The 19,549-nt window shown below is 46.7% G+C and overlaps 1 protein-coding gene across 12 annotated transcripts, besides 3 other annotated features; it reads left to right on the top strand.

Moving 5' to 3' along the window:
- Positions 306 to 1,023: an enhancer, noted in NCBI's record as "OCT4-NANOG hESC enhancer chrX:130424759-130425476 (GRCh37/hg19 assembly coordinates)". NCBI's record gives its function as "activates a minimal SCP1, AML or CMV promoter by ChIP-STARR-seq in primed H9 embryonic stem cells {active_cell/tissue: H9 hESC(primed)}" and the evidence as "EXISTENCE:reporter gene assay evidence [ECO:0000049][PMID:30033119]".
- On the top strand, positions 2,351 to 18,302 carry IGSF1 (immunoglobulin superfamily member 1). 12 transcript variants are annotated; one of them, NM_001438813.1, is made up of 21 exons: positions 2,351 to 2,398; positions 2,533 to 2,594; positions 5,067 to 5,203; positions 5,345 to 5,371; positions 5,760 to 6,041; positions 6,342 to 6,629; positions 8,544 to 8,828; positions 9,071 to 9,364; positions 9,864 to 10,142; positions 10,470 to 10,590; positions 12,467 to 12,537; positions 12,633 to 12,665; positions 13,057 to 13,347; positions 13,674 to 13,952; positions 14,582 to 14,869; positions 15,560 to 15,847; positions 16,043 to 16,330; positions 16,522 to 16,809; positions 16,931 to 17,209; positions 17,602 to 17,725; positions 17,877 to 18,302. In NM_001438813.1, the coding sequence occupies exons 3-21, from the start codon at positions 5,134 to 5,136 to the stop codon at positions 18,010 to 18,012; spliced, it is 4,011 nt and encodes a 1,336-aa protein (NP_001425742.1). In that variant the 5' UTR covers positions 2,351 to 2,398; positions 2,533 to 2,594; positions 5,067 to 5,133; the 3' UTR covers positions 18,013 to 18,302. The 12 variants fall into 12 exon arrangements, with proteins under 12 accessions (NP_001425742.1, NP_001425741.1, NP_001425740.1 ...); NM_001438812.1 differs by having other exon boundaries at positions 2,351 to 2,402; NM_001438811.1 differs by having other exon boundaries at positions 2,351 to 2,402; positions 12,618 to 12,665.
- Positions 12,649 to 13,195: an enhancer, noted in NCBI's record as "H3K4me1 hESC enhancer chrX:130412587-130413133 (GRCh37/hg19 assembly coordinates)". NCBI's record gives its function as "activates a minimal SCP1, AML or CMV promoter by ChIP-STARR-seq in primed H9 embryonic stem cells {active_cell/tissue: H9 hESC(primed)}" and the evidence as "EXISTENCE:reporter gene assay evidence [ECO:0000049][PMID:30033119]".
- Positions 13,196 to 13,744: an enhancer, noted in NCBI's record as "H3K4me1 hESC enhancer chrX:130412038-130412586 (GRCh37/hg19 assembly coordinates)". NCBI's record gives its function as "activates a minimal SCP1, AML or CMV promoter by ChIP-STARR-seq in primed H9 embryonic stem cells {active_cell/tissue: H9 hESC(primed)}" and the evidence as "EXISTENCE:reporter gene assay evidence [ECO:0000049][PMID:30033119]".

Below are 19,549 nucleotides of genomic sequence, written 5' to 3'. Positions count from 1 at the left end.
CTTGATTTGTAGCATTTACTTCTTCAGTTGTGAAAATTCCCTGACTGTGGTGAAAATTCTCTGACCATGGCCACTTTCAAGCTACTACCATTATGTCATTGAATGCTGGGATGAGATAAGATGTGCACATTGGGTTCTCCTGAACCATACAGAGCTAGCCAACATCAGTACAACACTGGGAAGGGATCAGGTTTGCCCTGGGCTTCTCCTGTTTGGGATATATAAAACAGAGTTAGGTTTAAAAAATATCATCATCTTACATTAGACTCGCTTATGGAGAAAGGCTTCCCACAACACCCTGTGAACCTTGGTGCTTCACCTCTATCCTTCAAGCTCCACTTTCTTGAAGCTCTTCTATACTGTAAATGTTTTGAAAATTGGCATGGATGTTTTCACCCTGACAGATAATAACTATTACTGTTGTCTTCCAAACAACCATCAAGTTTGTCTAATGTTGCCTTCTCAATGTTTTGGGAACTCTGACCCTCCCCTCCTTCTCTGCTACTGCTCCCTAGTTTAGGCACACAGTACAAGCAAAGTGCTTGCAATTATCCAAACACATACTATCATGACTTACTTGATGATCTTTTCTATTGCAATCCTCTTTGATTCTCAAGGCTCCTCCTTCTCTGGCTGCCTCCTACTTCTTCTCTAGTATGATTTATCCTTAGACTACAAACTCCTTAAGAAGAGAAACTGTCATCCTTTCTGAACTGTCAGCATCTAGAACAATCCCTGACACAAAGAAAGTACTTAACATTTGTGTTGAATCAATGGCTGCTTGCTGTGTCCTAGGTGCTATGTGGTGGCTTACAGGAAGGTTTCCATTCAATCCTACCCCAAACCCTTCATTGTAGTAAGTGCAATTATTATCCCCATTTTACAAATAAGAAAACTGAGGCTTGGAGGCTAAATAACTTGCCCAGAAACACATCTTTTTATTCATATGCCTATTCTATTCATTACACAATAATCTATAGTTTATAATGGAAGCCACAATTGATATCACCTGATGCATGAAGATATGATAATCAATTTGGCTGTAAAAGAGCTGTTACTTTATTTTTACACAGTTTGTTCTTGAATTAAAGTGTTTTTCATTAGATAATTTGAAATCTTTTATGCAGGTAGAAAATGTACATAAAAGGCTGGGCATGGTAGCTCACGCCTGTAATCCCAGCAGTTTAGGAGGCTGAGCCTCCAGACCAGCTTGGCCAACATGGTGGGACCCCGTCTCTACTAAAAAATACAAAAACTAGCTGGGTGTGGTGGTGCGCGCCTATAATCCTAGCTACTCGGGAGGCTGAAGCAGGAGAATTGCTTGAACCTGGGAGGTGGAGGTTGCAGTGAGCCAAGATCGCACCACTGCACGCCAGCCTGGGCGACAGAGTGAGACTGTCTTAAAAAAAAGGAAATGTACATAAAGAAAAATTTGTCTATTTTTTAGCCAATTAGTCTATCATGTTGATATTTCTTATCAATTAGTCTGTGAGCCCATTGGATGCTATACTTTAATCTCATCATATGTTATATATCAGGAGCTTTGATTAGTGTCTTATTCATACATTATCATTATAAAAAGTCTTTCATAATCAACATTTGTGAAAGGTTGCTCTATATTATTAAAATCATGTTACTCTAAGACATTTGGGGAAGGGCTTACAGATTAATAGTAGTAGTAGTAGTGGTAGCAGCAGCAACCACTACCATTTATTGAGCACCTACTACATGCTAGGCCTATTGTGCTGTTAGTTTTACTTACATCATCCCATTGAGGCCTTGTGAAATAGGTTCTGCTGTTTTTTGTTTGTTTGTTTGTTTTTTACTTTACTGTTGGGGAACCTGGGACTCAGAGAGTTTACTCACTTGCTTGAGGTCACACAACTATTGAATGTAAAATGTGGACTAAAATATACATTTGTATGTCTCTAAAGCCTGGGCTTTTACCCCAAGATGGACTTTGAAGGCTGTCCAAGTTACTTAACCCTCTCTGAGTTTCCGTTTCCTCATCTGTAAAACTGAGGGGAGTAACACTTATTTTGCAGAGTTGCTCTGAAGATGAGAAATAATGGATCCCAGGGCCCAGGGGCACACAGTAGGCACTTAAACTGTGGTGATGTTTATGCATAAATGGGGCGTTAAAATGGGCAGGGGAAGATCTGAGATCCCGATAAAGGTATTGGGGAGCTGGAGAGAAGGATCTACAAATCTTCTTGAGAGCTGGCCTTCTCCCCCCCACAATACAGTGACCCAGTGAAACTCTGAGAGACAGGCGAGGGGGCAGGGGCCTGAATTTGGCTCCAGCAACCTCTGCAGGGAGTCCGGAGAGAGGCGGGGAGCTGGGAGGGGCGTAGAAATCCCCGTCGTCAGAGGACTGCAGGTGCCAGGCAGAGTTGGTGTAGGTGGGCTCCCCGAGCCCGGCGCAGGGAGGGGAGGAGGTTGGGGCGGGCCGGCAGGCGGGCGGGGGAGAGAGGAAGGCGGGGCTCAGAGCCGAAGAGGCTGTCCTTAGACAGCTCTTCTCATGCCGGGCAGTTTGCTGCATCTGGAGGAGCTCACTGGAGAATCTCCAACATCGGAGCGGGCCTTCAACTACCGTAAGTACCTACAAATGAGCGCATAGTTCAGTGGCTGAATATTAAATACTGGCCACCGGATCCTAAACAAAACCCCGAAAGAGTCTCCTTGCTGTAATTAATTGCCGTAAATCAAACTGCTCCCCAGTCTGTCCCCCCACCCGCTTCATTCCTGCCTTTCTCCTTTCCTTCCCGGATCCCAGACCTGCCTCGGTGAGAATCTCTGGGCACTGTAGATATCTCCCCTTTTCCTTCTCAGTCTTCCCTCCAAACCCTCAGCTGAGCATGTACCCGGCACCCCGCCGAGCCCAACCCCTTTGATTCCTGGAGCCCTCAAAGCTATGCAGGGGGCGAGCCATTAGACATTTCAGATATGTCACCCTCAAAAGCACTGCGGCGCTGCCTAAGGGTGGGGAAAGTGCTTGGGGTGGAGTAGGAGGGAAGGGTAAAACGGCTAGGCAGCCAAAGTTGGGGGTGGGGGTGGGGTGAAAGGCCAAAATGGGCGTGGCCAACTAACCCAAGGCTTGGGGCTGTTCTCATGTTCCCCCGGTATAAGATTCATCATCTGGGCTGAATATAAATGGTACAATTTCCTTAGTGATTGAGGAGGGGTCAGCCATGCCAAAAAGCCCAGCTTCCCTGACTCCCCTCAATCCCCCAGTAGGCAAAGATCCTGGTTTAGGGGTCCAAGTGGCAAGGCTGAAACCTCAGATGGCATTTCCTGGGTGTAATCCCAGGTTGAACCTCTCCCTTGGCAGTGGAACCTGGCTTCCCCCAAAAACTCCTGGCCCAAAGCCCCAGGGTAACAAAGCAACAGGGTAGCATCCAAGCTTTGGCCTGGCCCTGAGAGGAGTGGGAGCAAGGGACTGTAGGAACTGAGATGGAAAGGGCATCTTTAGGGCCCTACACCAGTTGGATGCCCCCTTTGAAAAGAAGAAAAAATAAGCATCTTTTTAAAATGTAATGTTCACTATGTGCCTGGCACTGTACATGTATTATCTCTAACCCAACACAACAATAATGTTAGGTCGATATTACTCCTCCACTTTACAGATAAGGAAAATTCAGAGTGGGTAATCTGAAAATCCTTTGATACAAAGTGAAAAATGTACAATGGACCTATGCTTCCTTGGATTTCTCACTGTCCACTTGTTCCCTACAGTCCAGATATTTTGAACACGAAATATCCTCCTCTTCCTGCTCCTCCATCCTACCCAGTGTTAGCACTGGGGCAAGTTTGAGGCTGAGGTCCAAGGTCAGTCTGGAAAAGCAAAATCAGTTCCTTTCTCTATTCTGGGAGCTGCCTCTTCCCCACTCTTCTGAGCTAAGATTTAATAACAGCTGGAGTCAGCCAGGACTTCAGACTCCCAGTAGAAAGTTGGTGGAAGAGAATTAGCTTGAGTTTGCGTGGCTGGGACATACCTTCCCTTGGTGAAAGGTTACTGTGGGGGGAGGTGGAGAGAGGCATGAAAGCTCAAGAGTCTACCTTGTGTATATGCAAGGCCTATGGTAAATAATGACTTTGGTCAGGGAGAATGGAAAGCCTCCCTGAACTCAAATATCTTTGCCGTATTTCCTGAGATTCAAACAATTCCATTTCCCTTAGAGGCAATCAACAAAACTGTTTAGAAGTTAAGGGCAACGAAAGAATCATTTAGACCTTATGTAAATTAACTCAAGCAGCTTGATTTTCTAACACATGCTTGACACTGGGGTATTGAGCTTTTAGGGGTAGGAGACAAGAATGAGAGTAATATTGGATCTAAAGCATTCTATGGAAGGGAAGGATATCCAAGGGATCAAGTGAGAGGGGTAAGGGAGGGTGAAGAGGGAGTGAAGGGTACCTCTGGGAGTTTAAATCATTGTTTTAGATCCATAGGCCTTGGAGTTAAACATGGATTCTAATTTGGGCTCTAATATTTAATATCTTTTGACTTTGGGCAAATTATATAACCTCTCTAAGCCTCAGTTTGTTCATCAGTAAAATGGGGATGGTAGTAATGCCCCCTCTCTTAAGTTGTTGGAGGACTCTCTCTCTCTCTCTATATATATATATACACACACACACACATATATACGTATATATATACACACATATATACGTATATATACACACATATATATACATGTATATACACATATATATACGTATATAAACATACGTATATATATATATATGCATATCTGAAAAGGTGACTCTGCACCTCCCATCTCCCCCATCCTGTGGAGCTTCTGCAGGCTATTCTGGGCTTCTGAGATCCCAGAGACAAATCCATATTTCAACAAATCTGACATCTTTGATACCAACAAAGACCTTGAGCAGGATAGGGAAGTGAGGGAAAGGAGCAAGGAGAGGAAGCAGCAGGTGACCTTGTAATACCCTGCATGCCTGTGAGGAAGTACAATGTAGGGTTGTCAAGTGCAATTTAGCCATCTAAACTAAACTTTAAGGAGCAGGACAAGTCCTCTGAGTAAAAACAATTCTGCTTTTAGATCCCACCACCTGCTGAGGAGAAAAATTCTTCAAGACTCAGAGCACACAGCCAGCACCAGAGGCCCCATGACCCTGGACAGACCAGGGGAGGGGGCCACCATGCTGAAGACATTCACTGTTTTGCTCTTTTGCATTCGTGAGTACAAGGAAGGGGTGAGGGGCAAGTGACCCTGTCATAGGTACCCACTCATTAGGGGTGGGAGAGGAAAGTATTGAGGTTTGAGCACAGGATGGAGACAACAAGGGAGCTCTCCTTTACCATAATCTCTCTTTTCAGGGATGAGTCTGGGTATGACATCAATAGGTAAGTGAGTCCTGCCCTCTCAGGCACCTCCTTCCTAAAGGATCCAAGATGCTGGCGTGTCTCCATGACCTTGGACATAATGCCTTGAGATTCCAGAGATAGATTGGGCTGATTGGGAATCAGAGGACTTGGTTTCCTATGGCATGGTGAAAAAGCTTTATCTCAGATGGAAAAGAGACCATCAGACTTTATTCTCCAATTCATTTGGACCCCTTGACAAAATATCTTGGGGTTCTTATACGATGCCCCACAGGAGCACACTCCTGTCCCCAAGGGAAGACAAAATGAGGGATCTGGGTCCGGGCTAATTTTAAGGGACATTGTGGGACATGTTATGGGAGGGAGAGGGTTGGACTGCTCATATCTTTTTGATCTTTGGGAATAACAGTGATGGACCCTCAACCAGAGTTGTGGATAGAGTCCAACTACCCCCAGGCCCCTTGGGAGAACATCACGCTTTGGTGCCGAAGCCCCTCTCGGATATCAAGCAAGTTCCTGCTGCTGAAGGATAAGACACAGATGACCTGGATCCGCCCTTCCCACAAGACCTTCCAAGTTTCATTCCTTATAGGTGCCCTTACTGAGTCCAATGCAGGTCTTTACCGGTGCTGCTACTGGAAGGAGACAGGCTGGTCAAAGCCCAGTAAAGTTCTAGAGTTGGAGGCACCAGGTAAGATGACAGTGATACTCAAGAATCAACTCCAGCTCCTGAGATTCAAACTTGCCTTCCAGGGGAGAGTTTGTTTCACAAATGCATGCAAGCATGCATCCCACAGTTAGTAAATAAGGGCCTACTTTGTATTGGGCAATGCAGAGGGGGGATGCAGACTCTGGAGCAGAGATAGGAGAAGGAGGGGTGGCAAACAAGGATCATACAGGGAAACCTCAATTAAAGTAGAGCTCTCCTCTGCTGCTCCCTAGACAGTACTATCCTTGCTTTACCTAATTCCAGTTCATTCTATCCTTCCAGGCCAACTGCCCAAGCCCATCTTCTGGATTCAGGCTGAGACCCCCGCTCTTCCTGGGTGTAATGTTAACATCCTCTGCCATGGCTGGCTGCAGGATTTGGTATTCATGCTGTTTAAAGAGGGATATGCAGAGCCTGTGGATTACCAAGTCCCAACTGGGACAATGGCCATATTCTCCATTGACAACCTGACACCTGAGGATGAAGGGGTTTACATCTGCCGCACTCATATCCAGATGCTCCCCACCCTGTGGTCAGAGCCCAGCAACCCCCTGAAGCTGGTTGTAGCAGGTGGGTGTGGCTATGGCTGCTGGCATCTGGCAATTGTTGTCCCAGGTATCATGGCTGGCTGAGCTAGGGTTTCTGATTTTACTTTCCTCAGCCAGTTTCTAGGCCCTGCAAGGCCCCATGAGCTACAGTCGTTTGAAGTTTTACTGAGATATAAATTAGAATGGCATGTGCTGCAAGGCAGATGTATGGGAGCCAATCATTTGGCTAGTAAAGGAGCCCAGCCAACTGGCCAGCAGCTTCAGCTCATCACAGCTTTGTTGTTCTCAACTTGTTGAATATCATGCATTCATTCATTAATTCAACCAGTATTTATTGAGCACCTAATATGTGCCAGGCACTGCCACTGCAATCTTATAAATGGAGTTTTAAATTTGCAAATGTATTTTATTTGTAATTGTTATTTTTATGTGTGGAAAACAGAATGGATTGCTAGTGTTGGTGAGTAAAAACAAAAAAAAACAAATGACAAAGAATGTGATAGCTCATATTTTAGAAATGGCTTTATAAATCACCTTGGTTCCCTATCAGTAGAGCTAGTAAGGCAGCACCAATCTCTAAATATAGAAGAAATTTCCCCAAAATGTAAAATGCCAGACATGTCCCAGCCCGAACTCCCCCACCCCATGGCCTGGAGGTTTCTAGATGGAATTGGCCACATTTGCTTTAGTCTCTCTATCCAGCTAAATAGGCTTGGGGAAAGCTGTGGTGCTACAGAAAGTACCCTAGACTTAGAAGCAGTAATACTGGTTTCTAGTTCTATTTCTGACACTGCCTCCCTGTGTGGTCTTGAGCAAGTCACTTCACTTTTCTGTGCTTTGGCTTCCTCTACTCTAAAAATGGGATAACAGTATCTATCTGATCTACTGTGTAATGCTTCTCTCTGTGCCTCAGCTTCCTGATCTGCAAAATTGGTTTAATAATAATGCCTACCTCACAGGGTTGTTGTGAGGATTTGCCTAAATATATATGTACAGTGCCTGGCATATAAGTTCTCAATAAATGGTAGATATTAATTTTGTTAGTATAGCTTTTTATTGAGGATCAAAGAACAAAAACTGCCTGTTTGAACTGAGTGTATGAATGTTTGTTGTACTCATGCCCTTTCAGCATAGATTCCACTAAAATACACTTCCGTAGTTACCTGTTCACCAATATCCCCCACCAACCAGTTCATGAGCTTTTTGCTAGCGGAGACTGTGTCTTCTTTACTCATACACACCTAGACCTACATGACGCTTGATGCATACTAAATGCTCAGTGAGCATATGACAGAGCTGATCCTTCCTTAATGAATAGATAAGTGTGCCTGGCATTGGGGTGGGGGTAGGAAGGAGTGGTAGGAGGTGAGGTTTGCCCTCACTTTCATGTAAAATCTCCTTGGAGAAACAATTCATGGAAAGGAATGTGTGGCCCCATAACAAAGATTTATTTGGGTCGCAGACTTACTGGCCAAACCCTCTTTATTGGCTTCTTTCAGTCTTGTTGTAGAAGTAGGGTCTTAAATGAGCTTAATGTATTCAAAAGCTCTCCTTAATATTTCAGTGGCATTCATGCTCTGCAAAGATGAAAACAATGTTATTTTCAGAGGTTTGGTTTTTCTGGTGGTTGAAAGAACTACATTTGGCATTTCAGGGGCCTAAAGATACAGGGAATTATAGATGTAGATCTTCCACTGAGATACACCCCTACACATGGTTAGAGCTCAGTGAAGCTGGCAGATTCTTGAGAGAGAACAGGGGCATAAGTGAATCTACCCTTGATTATGTTACAGAGGCAGAGATCCAAGGAAGGGATAGGGAAGAGAAGGTAAACTTCAGCTACCACTTCTTGTTCAAAGAAATTAAGAAAGAGAAAACAGAAGACAACAGGAAAGAATCATCTTGCCTCTAACTTTAGGGTCTCTTCCGTTTGTAGGACTCTACCCCAAACCAACTTTGACAGCCCATCCTGGGCCCATCATGGCACCTGGAGAAAGCCTGAATCTCAGGTGCCAAGGGCCAATCTATGGAATGACCTTTGCTCTAATGAGGGTTGAAGACTTGGAGAAGTCCTTTTACCACAAGAAGACAATAAAAAATGAGGCAAATTTCTTCTTCCAGTCTTTGAAGATCCAAGATACTGGACATTACCTCTGTTTTTACTATGACGCATCATATAGAGGTTCACTCCTTAGTGATGTCCTGAAAATCTGGGTGACTGGTAAGAGACGGGTATGCCATGAAACTTAGGTTAACGGCTAAGGATATAAATCTCCCTCTGTGCTCCCTGGAGAACCTAATCCTGTGGCCAGGGTTAACAGTAGAGAAGGGAGCAGAATTTGTAAAACTGGGTGTAGGCAGGTTTTTCCAAGGGTGGTTTGGAGGAAGAGAAGGAAAAGAATCTTAAGGAGTGGGAGCAGGAAGTGAAATCACTAGTGCTTTTTATTCTGGGTCTCATCCTAGACACTTTCCCCAAGACCTGGCTACTTGCTCGGCCCAGTGCTGTGGTCCAAATGGGTCAGAATGTGAGCCTACGGTGTCGAGGACCAGTGGATGGAGTGGGTCTTGCACTCTATAAGAAAGGAGAAGACAAACCACTTCAATTTTTGGATGCCACCAGCATCGATGACAACACATCATTCTTCCTCAACAATGTAACCTACAGTGATACTGGCATCTATAGCTGCCACTATCTTCTCACCTGGAAGACCTCCATTAGGATGCCATCACACAACACTGTGGAGCTTATGGTTGTAGGCAAGTGTTAACAACTGTTTTTATTATCAACCTGTTTGTTTTTATCATCATTGTGGTGTTGTAAGAAGGAGCTAGTAGCCTCATATCCTCTGAGAGCTATGAGCAAAACACACACACACATACACACACACACGCACTAGGAAGGTGGTGTAGAACTTTCTTCCAAAACTTTAGGGACCTTGTCTCCCAGGATTGTTCCTCAAGCTCCACCTCTCAGTATGGCACAGCCCCATTGTAACCCCTGGGAAAATTATTTTTCTTTAGGCCAGAGGAAGCTTACAGGTATGAGGTCTTCCTGATTGAAGGTAAGGAACCAGGAATCTTTAGATCACCAAGGGGTGGGCAAAGGAATTCTAATGCACAGTCAAATCTTGAAGCCACTGGCCAAGTGGAAGTGGAAAGGAAGAGAAGATCAAATGGGGAGCTCAGAAACATTTTCTGGGGGAGAGGGTACTGGGTTTGAGGTCACTTCTCACTCTGGTCTCTGGATTGGTTTCAGATAAGCCCCCCAAACCCTCCCTGTCAGCTTGGCCAAGCACTGTGTTCAAGCTAGGAAAGGCCATCACCCTTCAGTGCCGAGTATCTCATCCAGTACTGGAATTTTCTCTGGAATGGGAAGAAAGAGAAACATTCCAAAAATTCTCAGTAAACGGAGACTTCATCATCAGTAATGTTGACGGGAAAGGCACAGGGACCTACAGTTGCAGCTATCGCGTAGAGACACATCCTAACATCTGGTCACATCGCAGTGAGCCCCTGAAGCTGATGGGGCCAGCAGGTGAGAGGATAACTCTTCAGAGGAATGCCCCTCCATACCCCAGGGATCCCAGATCAGTGCCCAGAAAGATATGGGAAAGGGAGTCAGAGGCCTGAAAATCAGAGCCCTTGGGTTTCAGCACCCTTCCCCTGGGGTGGTCTCACAATTCCTCAAAGGCAGTTAGCAGGATAATTTCAAGGCTCCCATTCTCCATGAAAAAGAAGGCCACTTCTGCCTCACCTTCTCAATATAAGCACTGTCAGTAACCAGATTGTCCTCACCCCATGAATGTATTCACCTGCCCCTGTCCCCATCAAGGCCTCTGATTCTGGTCTTCTCTGGCCACAGGCTATCTCACCTGGAATTACGTTCTGAATGAAGCTATCAGGTTGTCTCTAATCATGCAGCTTGTTGCCTTGCTGTTGGTAGTGCTGTGGATAAGGTGGAAGTGTCGGAGACTCAGAATCAGGTAACTGTCTTGTCCCAGCCCCCTGTTCCCCAACCTAACAGAGTCTGAAGAATGAGTCATGCCCTAGTTGAGACAAGCCACAGAGGCAAACCCTATAGAACCCCTATCTTCTGGGCTTAGGGAACAAGACTTTCTCACCCCACCTGTCTCTTTCGCCTCACAGAGGGGTCAGCACTCAAGCCAGCGGGTGGAGAAATGCATAGTTCTCAGAGGCAAGAGGAGTAATCAGAACTGCATTCACTGACATCCCCCCCGGAGGGTGCCCAAATCTCGCCCACAAACCATCCTGCCCTCAGAGATGATTGATGTCTCCCTCATTAACTTGTTCTGGATTTTTCCTCTTGTAAGAAGCCATGCTGTCCTGTCTCCCAGACTGTTATCCAACTCCTATCCCAACTTTTCACCCTTATCCCTAGCTCTCAGGAGCTATTAAGCCTTGTGACGCATCCTAGTTGCCTTAGTAACCAGTCTCTGACACTGTGGCCTCCAACCACCTGTGCAGAGCATTCTGGGAATATAGACTTGACCTGGATGGCCATCTGATGTGATATTGGACGGGGCAACAGAATCAGACTGTTTCCTCTGACTCACAAACTCACAGGCCAAACAGATTCTCCTGCCATTTCCTTTGATTCTGTGGTGTGCTCTGGGCCATCTGCCTCTCTCATCCCCATGGCTTGTGCTCAGGCTACTCTACTGGGAACAAGGAGAGAAATGACCACTTCTGACCCAGTAGGGATGTTAGCTCCTGAATACCTTGTCTACTTCCCCCTACTCCCTGCTTCTGGCTGTACCCCCCGCCCTGCAACTGTGGTCAGTGTGTCTGGAAGTATTCAATGCACAATGGATTATGATTATGATTACATGTGTCTGTGTTTTCCACTGGAATCTGAGGGACAGAATACTTGGGCAATCAGAAGGGAGCCACCTAAGCCTTCTGCAAAAACCACCACCCTTTGAGTTTTCAAAAAGTTTCAGCAGGGGTCAAGTTCTACTTCTTTCCGGAACCTGACCTGGGTCCCGTACTCATTAGAGTAATCTCCAAGCCAGTGGTTAGAAAAAAAAAAAAATGTAGCTTTATGTGCCCCACCCCAGCCCAGCAACACTGCATCAAAGAATAAGATCAGGAACCAGATTTCAGAGAAAGCAGCTTGAAAATCATGTTTTCCTCACCAGGAAGGATGGTCAGTGTTTTCTAAGTAAAAATTGTCCGATGGATTTTGGGTTAATATCATCTAATACTACAAGACTCATGACCCAAAGCTGCTGCACATTTCTAGTTATAATCTGGGTGAGGGGAGAGTTTCTACTCTCTGAAAAGCTTGGCTCGGCACTGCCAATCTTCTAGTAATTCATCACAGCTGCCTAGGCAACCCTTCCATAACAAAGGCAGGTGAGGCAGGTGGGTCTGAGGACCAATACTGCCACAACAACTGCTTCCGAACTTAAACTTGATGACTGAGAAATACTCACAGTTTCTCCCTCCACCCCCACACACACCACCCAGAGCTGCCGATCACAATGAGCTCCAGGGGTTCTGAGAGCTCCAAATAATATAAAAGCATTTTCCCATCTGACATCTCAATTCCAGCAACAACCTAATCAGGGGCCATGGGGAGCTGACATATGATATAGGCTGCGGAGTGGGGAGGGGGCGGGGGGGACACGTGGGTCATGAAAGAGCAAGAGGTTTGTAGGTGGTAAGGCCCTCAAAAAGAAAAGTCATTGATGTCAAATAAGATTATATCCCATTATCTTGGCCATATCCAGTCCCCATTGGGTAGCGAGTAAGCCAATGACATAAATTGCCGCCCCCTTTCCTCCACCCTCCCCCTCATCCCAGCAACTCCTCTCATCTCTTTTCTGGTCTCACTAGAGAAGCCTGGTTGCTGGGAACAGCTCAAGGGGTCACCATGCTCTTCATAGTCACGGCCCTTCTCTGCTGTGGTGAGTACAAGTGGGGGAAGGGGCCCCGGGCAGAAGGCCGGGGTGAAGTCCCGGTGGGGGAGGGGGCCGAGTCCTGGCAGCAATTTCTTTTGCAGGACTGTGCAATGGGGTATTGATAGAAGAGACTGGTGAGTTTTTCCTGCTCCAGACTGGGACATTCCTCCCTGGAGATCCGAAATAACTACAGAGCGTCAGTGTCATTGGCCAGGGAGTGGCTGGTTGGGAGGGAAGGGCAGCCAGGAAGGGGCACTTGCTAAAGCTGCTGGCAAAATTCAGCCTCCAACTTTGCCTTTCTGCCTGCAAAATTTCCTCCAAGCTTCTGCACTTTTCTGAGGCTCAGCTATAAGACACCAGCTTCCCCTTTCCCCAGCACCTGAGGAAGGAAGGAAAGAAGGAAAGGGTTTGGATTTGGGTTGCAAGGGGAGGTGGGCAGTGTGATCTGGGTAGAGGGTTCAAGGGCAAGGAGGAGGGAGGGGAAGGGAGGCGGGAGGATGGCTTCATTAATTCTGCTGTTTCTAGAAATAGTCATGCCAACCCCTAAGCCTGAGCTGTGGGCAGAGACCAACTTTCCTCTGGCCCCGTGGAAGAACTTAACCCTCTGGTGCAGAAGCCCTTCTGGCTCAACTAAGGAGTTTGTGTTGCTGAAGGATGGGACCGGGTGGATCGCCACTCGCCCGGCCTCAGAGCAGGTCCGGGCTGCCTTCCCCCTTGGCGCCCTGACCCAGAGCCACACCGGGAGCTACCACTGCCATTCATGGGAGGAGATGGCTGTATCGGAGCCCAGTGAGGCACTTGAGCTGGTGGGGACAGGTAAGAAAATGTAGAGGGTCTCCGGGAGTTATCCCCAGTGCCCCTGGGACTCCAACACTGCTCCTGGGAGTGAGGGAATGAACTCACAGGGACCCTGGAGCCCAAGGGGCTCGTGCTGCATGTAGGAGAGGAGGGGCACTGAAATGGTAGGGGGTTATGGGGTAGGGGGAGGGGCGGAATGGGAAAGAGAGTGTGAGGAGACTGACTGGAAGAGCCTAGGGCCAGCCCAGAATGAATGTCTTTATTTGCTGACAAAGTGACCCTGAGTATCCCATCTGGGCAACTGCAAACTTCTGACTCCTTTTTCACCCCATTCTGTTTTCCAGACATCCTCCCCAAACCTGTCATTTCTGCTTCCCCCACAATCCGGGGCCAGGAACTACAACTCCGGTGCAAAGGATGGCTGGCAGGCATGGGGTTTGCTCTGTATAAGGAGGGAGAGCAAGAACCTGTCCAGCAACTTGGTGCTGTTGGAAGAGAAGCCTTCTTTACAATCCAGAGAATGGAGGATAAAGACGAAGGCAATTACAGCTGCCGCACTCACACTGAAAAACGCCCCTTCAAGTGGTCTGAGCCCAGTGAGCCGCTGGAGCTTGTCATAAAAGGTAGAGCTGAAAAGGGTGTGGGAGGAAAGGGGGCAGGGTGGAGGGAAAGGCAAAGCCCTGGGTCAGACACTCCTCTCCCTGCAGCAAACTTTGCTGCTGGTCCTGAGAGCCTGTGTCCAATCTTAGAGCCAGGCAGGCGTGGCGCTGGGAGTGCCAGGGCCTCTGGCTGCACGATATTAATAGCCATAATCGTTATTAATAGCTTTGGTTCGTGGAGGGTGATTTAATTTTTCTAATTATTTTCACATCAATTATCTCACTTCACCATAGAGCAACTCTTCAAGGTGGGTGAAGCAGGTACCATTTTCCCCTTGTCCAAATGGGCAAACTGAGGCTCAGAGAATCAGCAGAACCCCAAGAAAAATTCTACCTTTTTACTAGCCTCCATTGCCTGCCCTGATCACACTGAGGACTCATCTGGAGGTAGTGAGGGGTGGGGTTGAAGGGTCCCTGTGTGAGAAGTCCATCTGCAAAGTGGATTTACCTTACTTTTTAAATGCACTTACTTAAAAGCAAAGAAGCCTCCGAGAACCAATATTTGCTATATTTGCTTTCTCTCTTTCTTGTTCTTAATTTGGTTTTGTGTTGTATTTTGTTTTTTGTTTTTGTTTTTGTTTTTTGCCTTCTAGAAATGTACCCTAAGCCCTTCTTCAAGACATGGGCCAGCCCTGTGGTCACCCCTGGTGCCCGAGTGACTTTCAATTGCTCCACCCCCCACCAGCATATGAGCTTTATTCTTTACAAAGATGGAAGTGAAATAGCATCCAGTGACAGGTCCTGGGCAAGTCCGGGGGCCAGTGCAGCTCACTTTCTAATCATTTCGGTGGGCATTGGTGATGGAGGGAATTACAGCTGCCGATATTATGACTTTTCTATCTGGTCTGAGCCCAGCGACCCTGTGGAGCTCGTGGTGACAGGTTAGGAGGGGGGACTCCAGGTAGAGGTGGTGCCAACCCTGGGATGGTGGGTGGAAGGCTGTCAGTGGGAGAGGAAGAAATGTTTCTTCTAAAACACACTGAGAACGTGCTTAGGACAGCGGCTGGCCCATAGTGACCAGTCCATGATGCACAGCTGCTCATGTTATTATTACAGGAACAAGAAACAAAGGCAGTGGGGAGGCAAGCAATTCACTTCTGGGGAAATAAATGAGGTAGATGGGGGTGTCTAATCCCAAGAGCTCGGTTCAACTTGCCCTATTTCTGCACATTTTTATGGCTTGGCATTGAGCTTTAGGCTCAATGTCCACTTTTTCTCTAGCTGGGCTGTCAGAGACCGGTGGGCTGGATGGCTCTCAGAGAAAGGGAGAAGACCTTGAAATGTCAGCTGCATACTACACAACTACACAACTGTGCATAAGTGGAGTCCCAATTATGTAAACAGTTATAGCTACATGGACATGGGAATATATGGAAAGAATAAATGGCAATTAAATATTAAAAATATTTATCTTTGAGTGGTAGAATTGTGTTTCCTTCATTAGTTTTTTTTTCTATATTTTCTAATTTTTAACAACAAACATATATTGTGTCTTACAATAACACTTTAAAAGGCTATTTGCAGGATGTGAGGGCTGGGTTTATCTCATGCTGTGGTCTCTTTAATTTCAGAATTCTACCCCAAACCCACTCTCCTGGCACAGCCAGGTCCTGTGGTGTTTCCTGGGAAGAGTGTGATCCTGCGCTGCCAAGGGACTTTCCAGGGCATGAGGTTCGCCCTCTTGCAGGAGGGAGCCCATGTTCCCTTACAGTTTCGGAGTGTCTCAGGGAACTCAGCTGACTTCCTTCTCCACACTGTTGGAGCAGAGGACTCTGGGAACTATAGCTGTATCTACTATGAGACAACCATGTCAAACAGGGGGTCATATCTCAGTATGCCCCTTATGATCTGGGTGACTGGTAAGGACCGACCGGACATGGGACTGGGATGGAGATCATTGGAGAAGGGGTTAGGGAGAGTAATTCCTCCTGGAAGGCTAGGCTAGGCCACGGAGGGGAACTACCGTGCCCAAGAGGAGAAAGATAGAGTGTTAATTTAAGCAGGAACTCATAAGTTTCTATAGTCACCACTTTACAACCTTGGTCTCTTTCTAGACACATTCCCTAAGCCATGGTTGTTTGCTGAGCCCAGTTCTGTGGTTCCCATGGGGCAGAATGTTACTCTCTGGTGCCGAGGGCCGGTCCATGGAGTAGGATACATTCTGCACAAAGAAGGAGAAGCCACTTCAATGCAGCTCTGGGGATCCACCAGTAATGACGGGGCATTCCCCATCACCAATATATCTGGTACTAGCATGGGGCGTTACAGCTGCTGCTACCACCCTGACTGGACCAGTTCTATCAAGATACAACCTAGCAACACCCTGGAACTCCTAGTCACAGGTAAGGGGAAGAGGCTGTCGAGTGGGCATGGAAGTGTAGAAAGGAGGGAATAGACTAGTTCATGGGAGATAGTTTTCAGAGAGCTCGAGGAGAGGCAACCAATTGCCTTTCCTCTTTATTGAGCAGAGACCCCAGGGGTGATGCACTGGAAAGTGACCTCTTCTCTTTGACCAGGAGTTCATTTCTTCCAGGCTTACTCCCCAAACCCAGCCTATTAGCCCAGCCTGGTCCCATGGTGGCCCCTGGCGAAAATATGACTCTTCAGTGTCAAGGGGAACTGCCAGACTCAACATTTGTCCTGTTGAAGGAGGGGGCTCAGGAGCCTTTAGAGCAACAGAGGCCAAGTGGGTACAGGGCTGACTTCTGGATGCCAGCAGTGAGAGGTGAAGACTCTGGGATCTATAGCTGTGTTTATTATTTGGACTCTACTCCCTTTGCAGCTTCAAATCACAGTGACTCCCTGGAGATCTGGGTGACTGGTAAGGTCCTGGAGACTTCAGTACAAGTCACGATTTTGTAGTTTTTAGCAGTAAGCAATAAGGGGGTAAAAGGCTAAGTTCAGGATCATTTCTTTTAACTCTGTGTCCTTGTTGGTTGCAGATAAGCCCCCTAAACCCTCTCTGTCAGCCTGGCCCAGCACCATGTTCAAGTTAGGGAAGGACATCACCCTTCAGTGCCGAGGACCCCTGCCAGGTGTTGAATTTGTCCTAGAACATGATGGAGAAGAAGCACCTCAGCAGTTTTCAGAGGATGGAGACTTTGTCATCAACAACGTAGAAGGAAAAGGCATTGGAAACTACAGCTGCAGCTACCGCCTCCAGGCCTACCCTGATATCTGGTCAGAGCCTAGTGATCCCCTGGAGCTGGTGGGGGCAGCAGGTAAGAGAATAATCTCTCCATGGTCCTGGTGTGACACACCTGGGATCCCAGGGACAGTCCCCATGGAGACATCCCAAATCAGGAGAATGGAGGAGCTTTGGAGCCAGGGACCTGAAGTGTGTCATCTTTCTCCTAAGGATGATGAGGAGGTGGGACCTTAAATATATTTGAAGATAGTGAGTGGGTTTCTTTTCAGGCCTCTTTTCCCCAAGGAAAGGAGGGCTGCTTCTGCTTCAGCATAAACTCTGCCACTGCCCACCCCCTCTGTAGTCTGAACAGATGGCTCCCACGTGAACCCTAAAGAAGGCCAGAGTGTGGGGCAATACCAGATCAAGGGGAACATACACACGCTAATCTCCATGGCCTCGGTTTCTCCTCTTTCATCACCACAGGGCCTGTTGCTCAGGAGTGCACTGTAGGGAACATTGTCCGAAGTAGCCTAATCGTGGTGGTTGTTGTAGCCTTGGGGGTAGTGCTAGCCATAGAGTGGAAGAAGTGGCCTCGACTGCGAACCAGGTAAATAAATGCCTCATTATGGCCCCCTTCTGTGAACCAGGTGGTGCTAGAAAAACAATCATACAAATGCTCCCCTAGTATCTGAGCCCCACCGTGCAATCTGTTTTCAGTTTCTGGGTCCTCCCTTACTCATGTCTTTTTCTTTACATAGAGGCTCAGAGACAGACGGAAGAGACCAGACCATTGCCCTTGAAGAGTGTAACCAAGAAGGAGAACCAGGCACCCCTGCCAATTCTCCTTCATCAACCTCTCAGAGAATCTCTGTGGAACTGCCCGTTCCAATATAATAATCTCCTCCTTTACAAGAGCTTTCCTCTCCTCTCTCTTGCTCTCAGAGACCTATAAATCCAACCAGTTACCCTGCAAGTCAGCCCCATCTGCTGTTCCTTGGTCTCTAATCACCTGAGCTGGGTAAAGGGGATTCTGGGAGTTGAGAGCTCTGCCAGGGTGAGATGTTTCCTGAAGAGAGGTTCCCCACCCCTGTAACTCCTCACTGTACTGATTTACTGGCGCATGAAATTCTATTAAAAATGCATTCTTCTGAATAAAAAGAGTATTCACTATTTAACTTCAAAAACTATGGCTGTGGTCTTCTATTGGTCTGTTTTCCACTAACAATTTAGAAATGATGTATTGGAGCTGATCTCGATGGCAGAATAAGAGAGTGCAGGGGTACGAGAAAAGAGAAAGTTGTTCAAGGATGGGCGTGGGGAGGGGGCTCCAAAATAGCTACTTCCCAATTTGGTTTGACACATAGTCACTGACCAGAGTATTCTTTTGCCCTTCCATGGGATAGATGAATGAATGAATGGCAACACTCTCTCCAAGTTGAGCCTGAGGAGGGAAAACACAGACATTACATGCATTTCATTGTGTTACGTTTGGGTCCATAGTACATCCACTTTCAAACAGTGGGATTGGCCCTCAGCAGCACTTTGAAACTGGAAAAGCGCGCTTTGTGACCCTTACCTAGCAATCACAGGGTGTAAATGAATTCACTCTTAAGTAAGAACAATTAATCAAATCTGATACTTTGTCCCTCTCTAAAGAGAGTTCCATTTTCCCAAAGGAATGTGCGTGTAATGGTGGGATCTCAAGAAGCCAGTAAGCAGATGAGGTGGATGGTTTGGAACAGGGGACCTGCCAGTGTCGCCTCCCAGGATTCCAAATGGGGAAATGGTGGGGCGGGGGGCTAGCTCCCATTCTCAGCCACTGATCTTTCCCCCTGGATTAGAAGGCCACTTGCCCCATGAGTGGGAATTCAGTACACATTAGGCCATTAGGCCGTTTGGAATGGGGTGGGTGGCTTACCTAGTTCCTCAAAGCTTGTTAAAGACCTCAGAAAAAGTGACCTACAGGTCTGAGAGGGGGTCATGACCCCTTCAAATCTGACCCTAAAGAAGTTAAACTTGCCTCCCAGCAGTGTTTAATTCTAAGCTAACACTGTTCAATAGAGCAATGTACAAGGGTACAGTACCTGGTGAGTTATTTAACCCTGGTTATAATAAAGTTTAGAAAGCAACTCCTCTATATGGTTGCATTAGGAAGCATATTTACACAGCAAGTTAATGAAAAAAAAAAAGCATCCCATTTACCTTAATCCTTACAGAATGAAACACTCTGAGTATTATAGACTAATTTGTATTAAGCTCTTTGGAATGTAGAAGTACAAAGTCCCACTCTGATTTCCATTTGATGAGATTCTATTAGTCCCTTATACTAATTTACTATAGTATTTGTAAAAATTGCATTTCAAAATTACTTTTACATTTGAGTTTAGCCAAACTTAATTGCTGCTTGCTGCTGAACACCACTTTTTGCCCT

This window comes from Homo sapiens, chromosome X (genome assembly GCF_000001405.40).
Source record: "Homo sapiens chromosome X, GRCh38.p14 Primary Assembly".
NCBI classification, from domain to species: Eukaryota; Metazoa; Chordata; class Mammalia; order Primates; family Hominidae; genus Homo; species Homo sapiens.
This window is presented reverse-complemented; position numbering and strand designations above follow the sequence as displayed.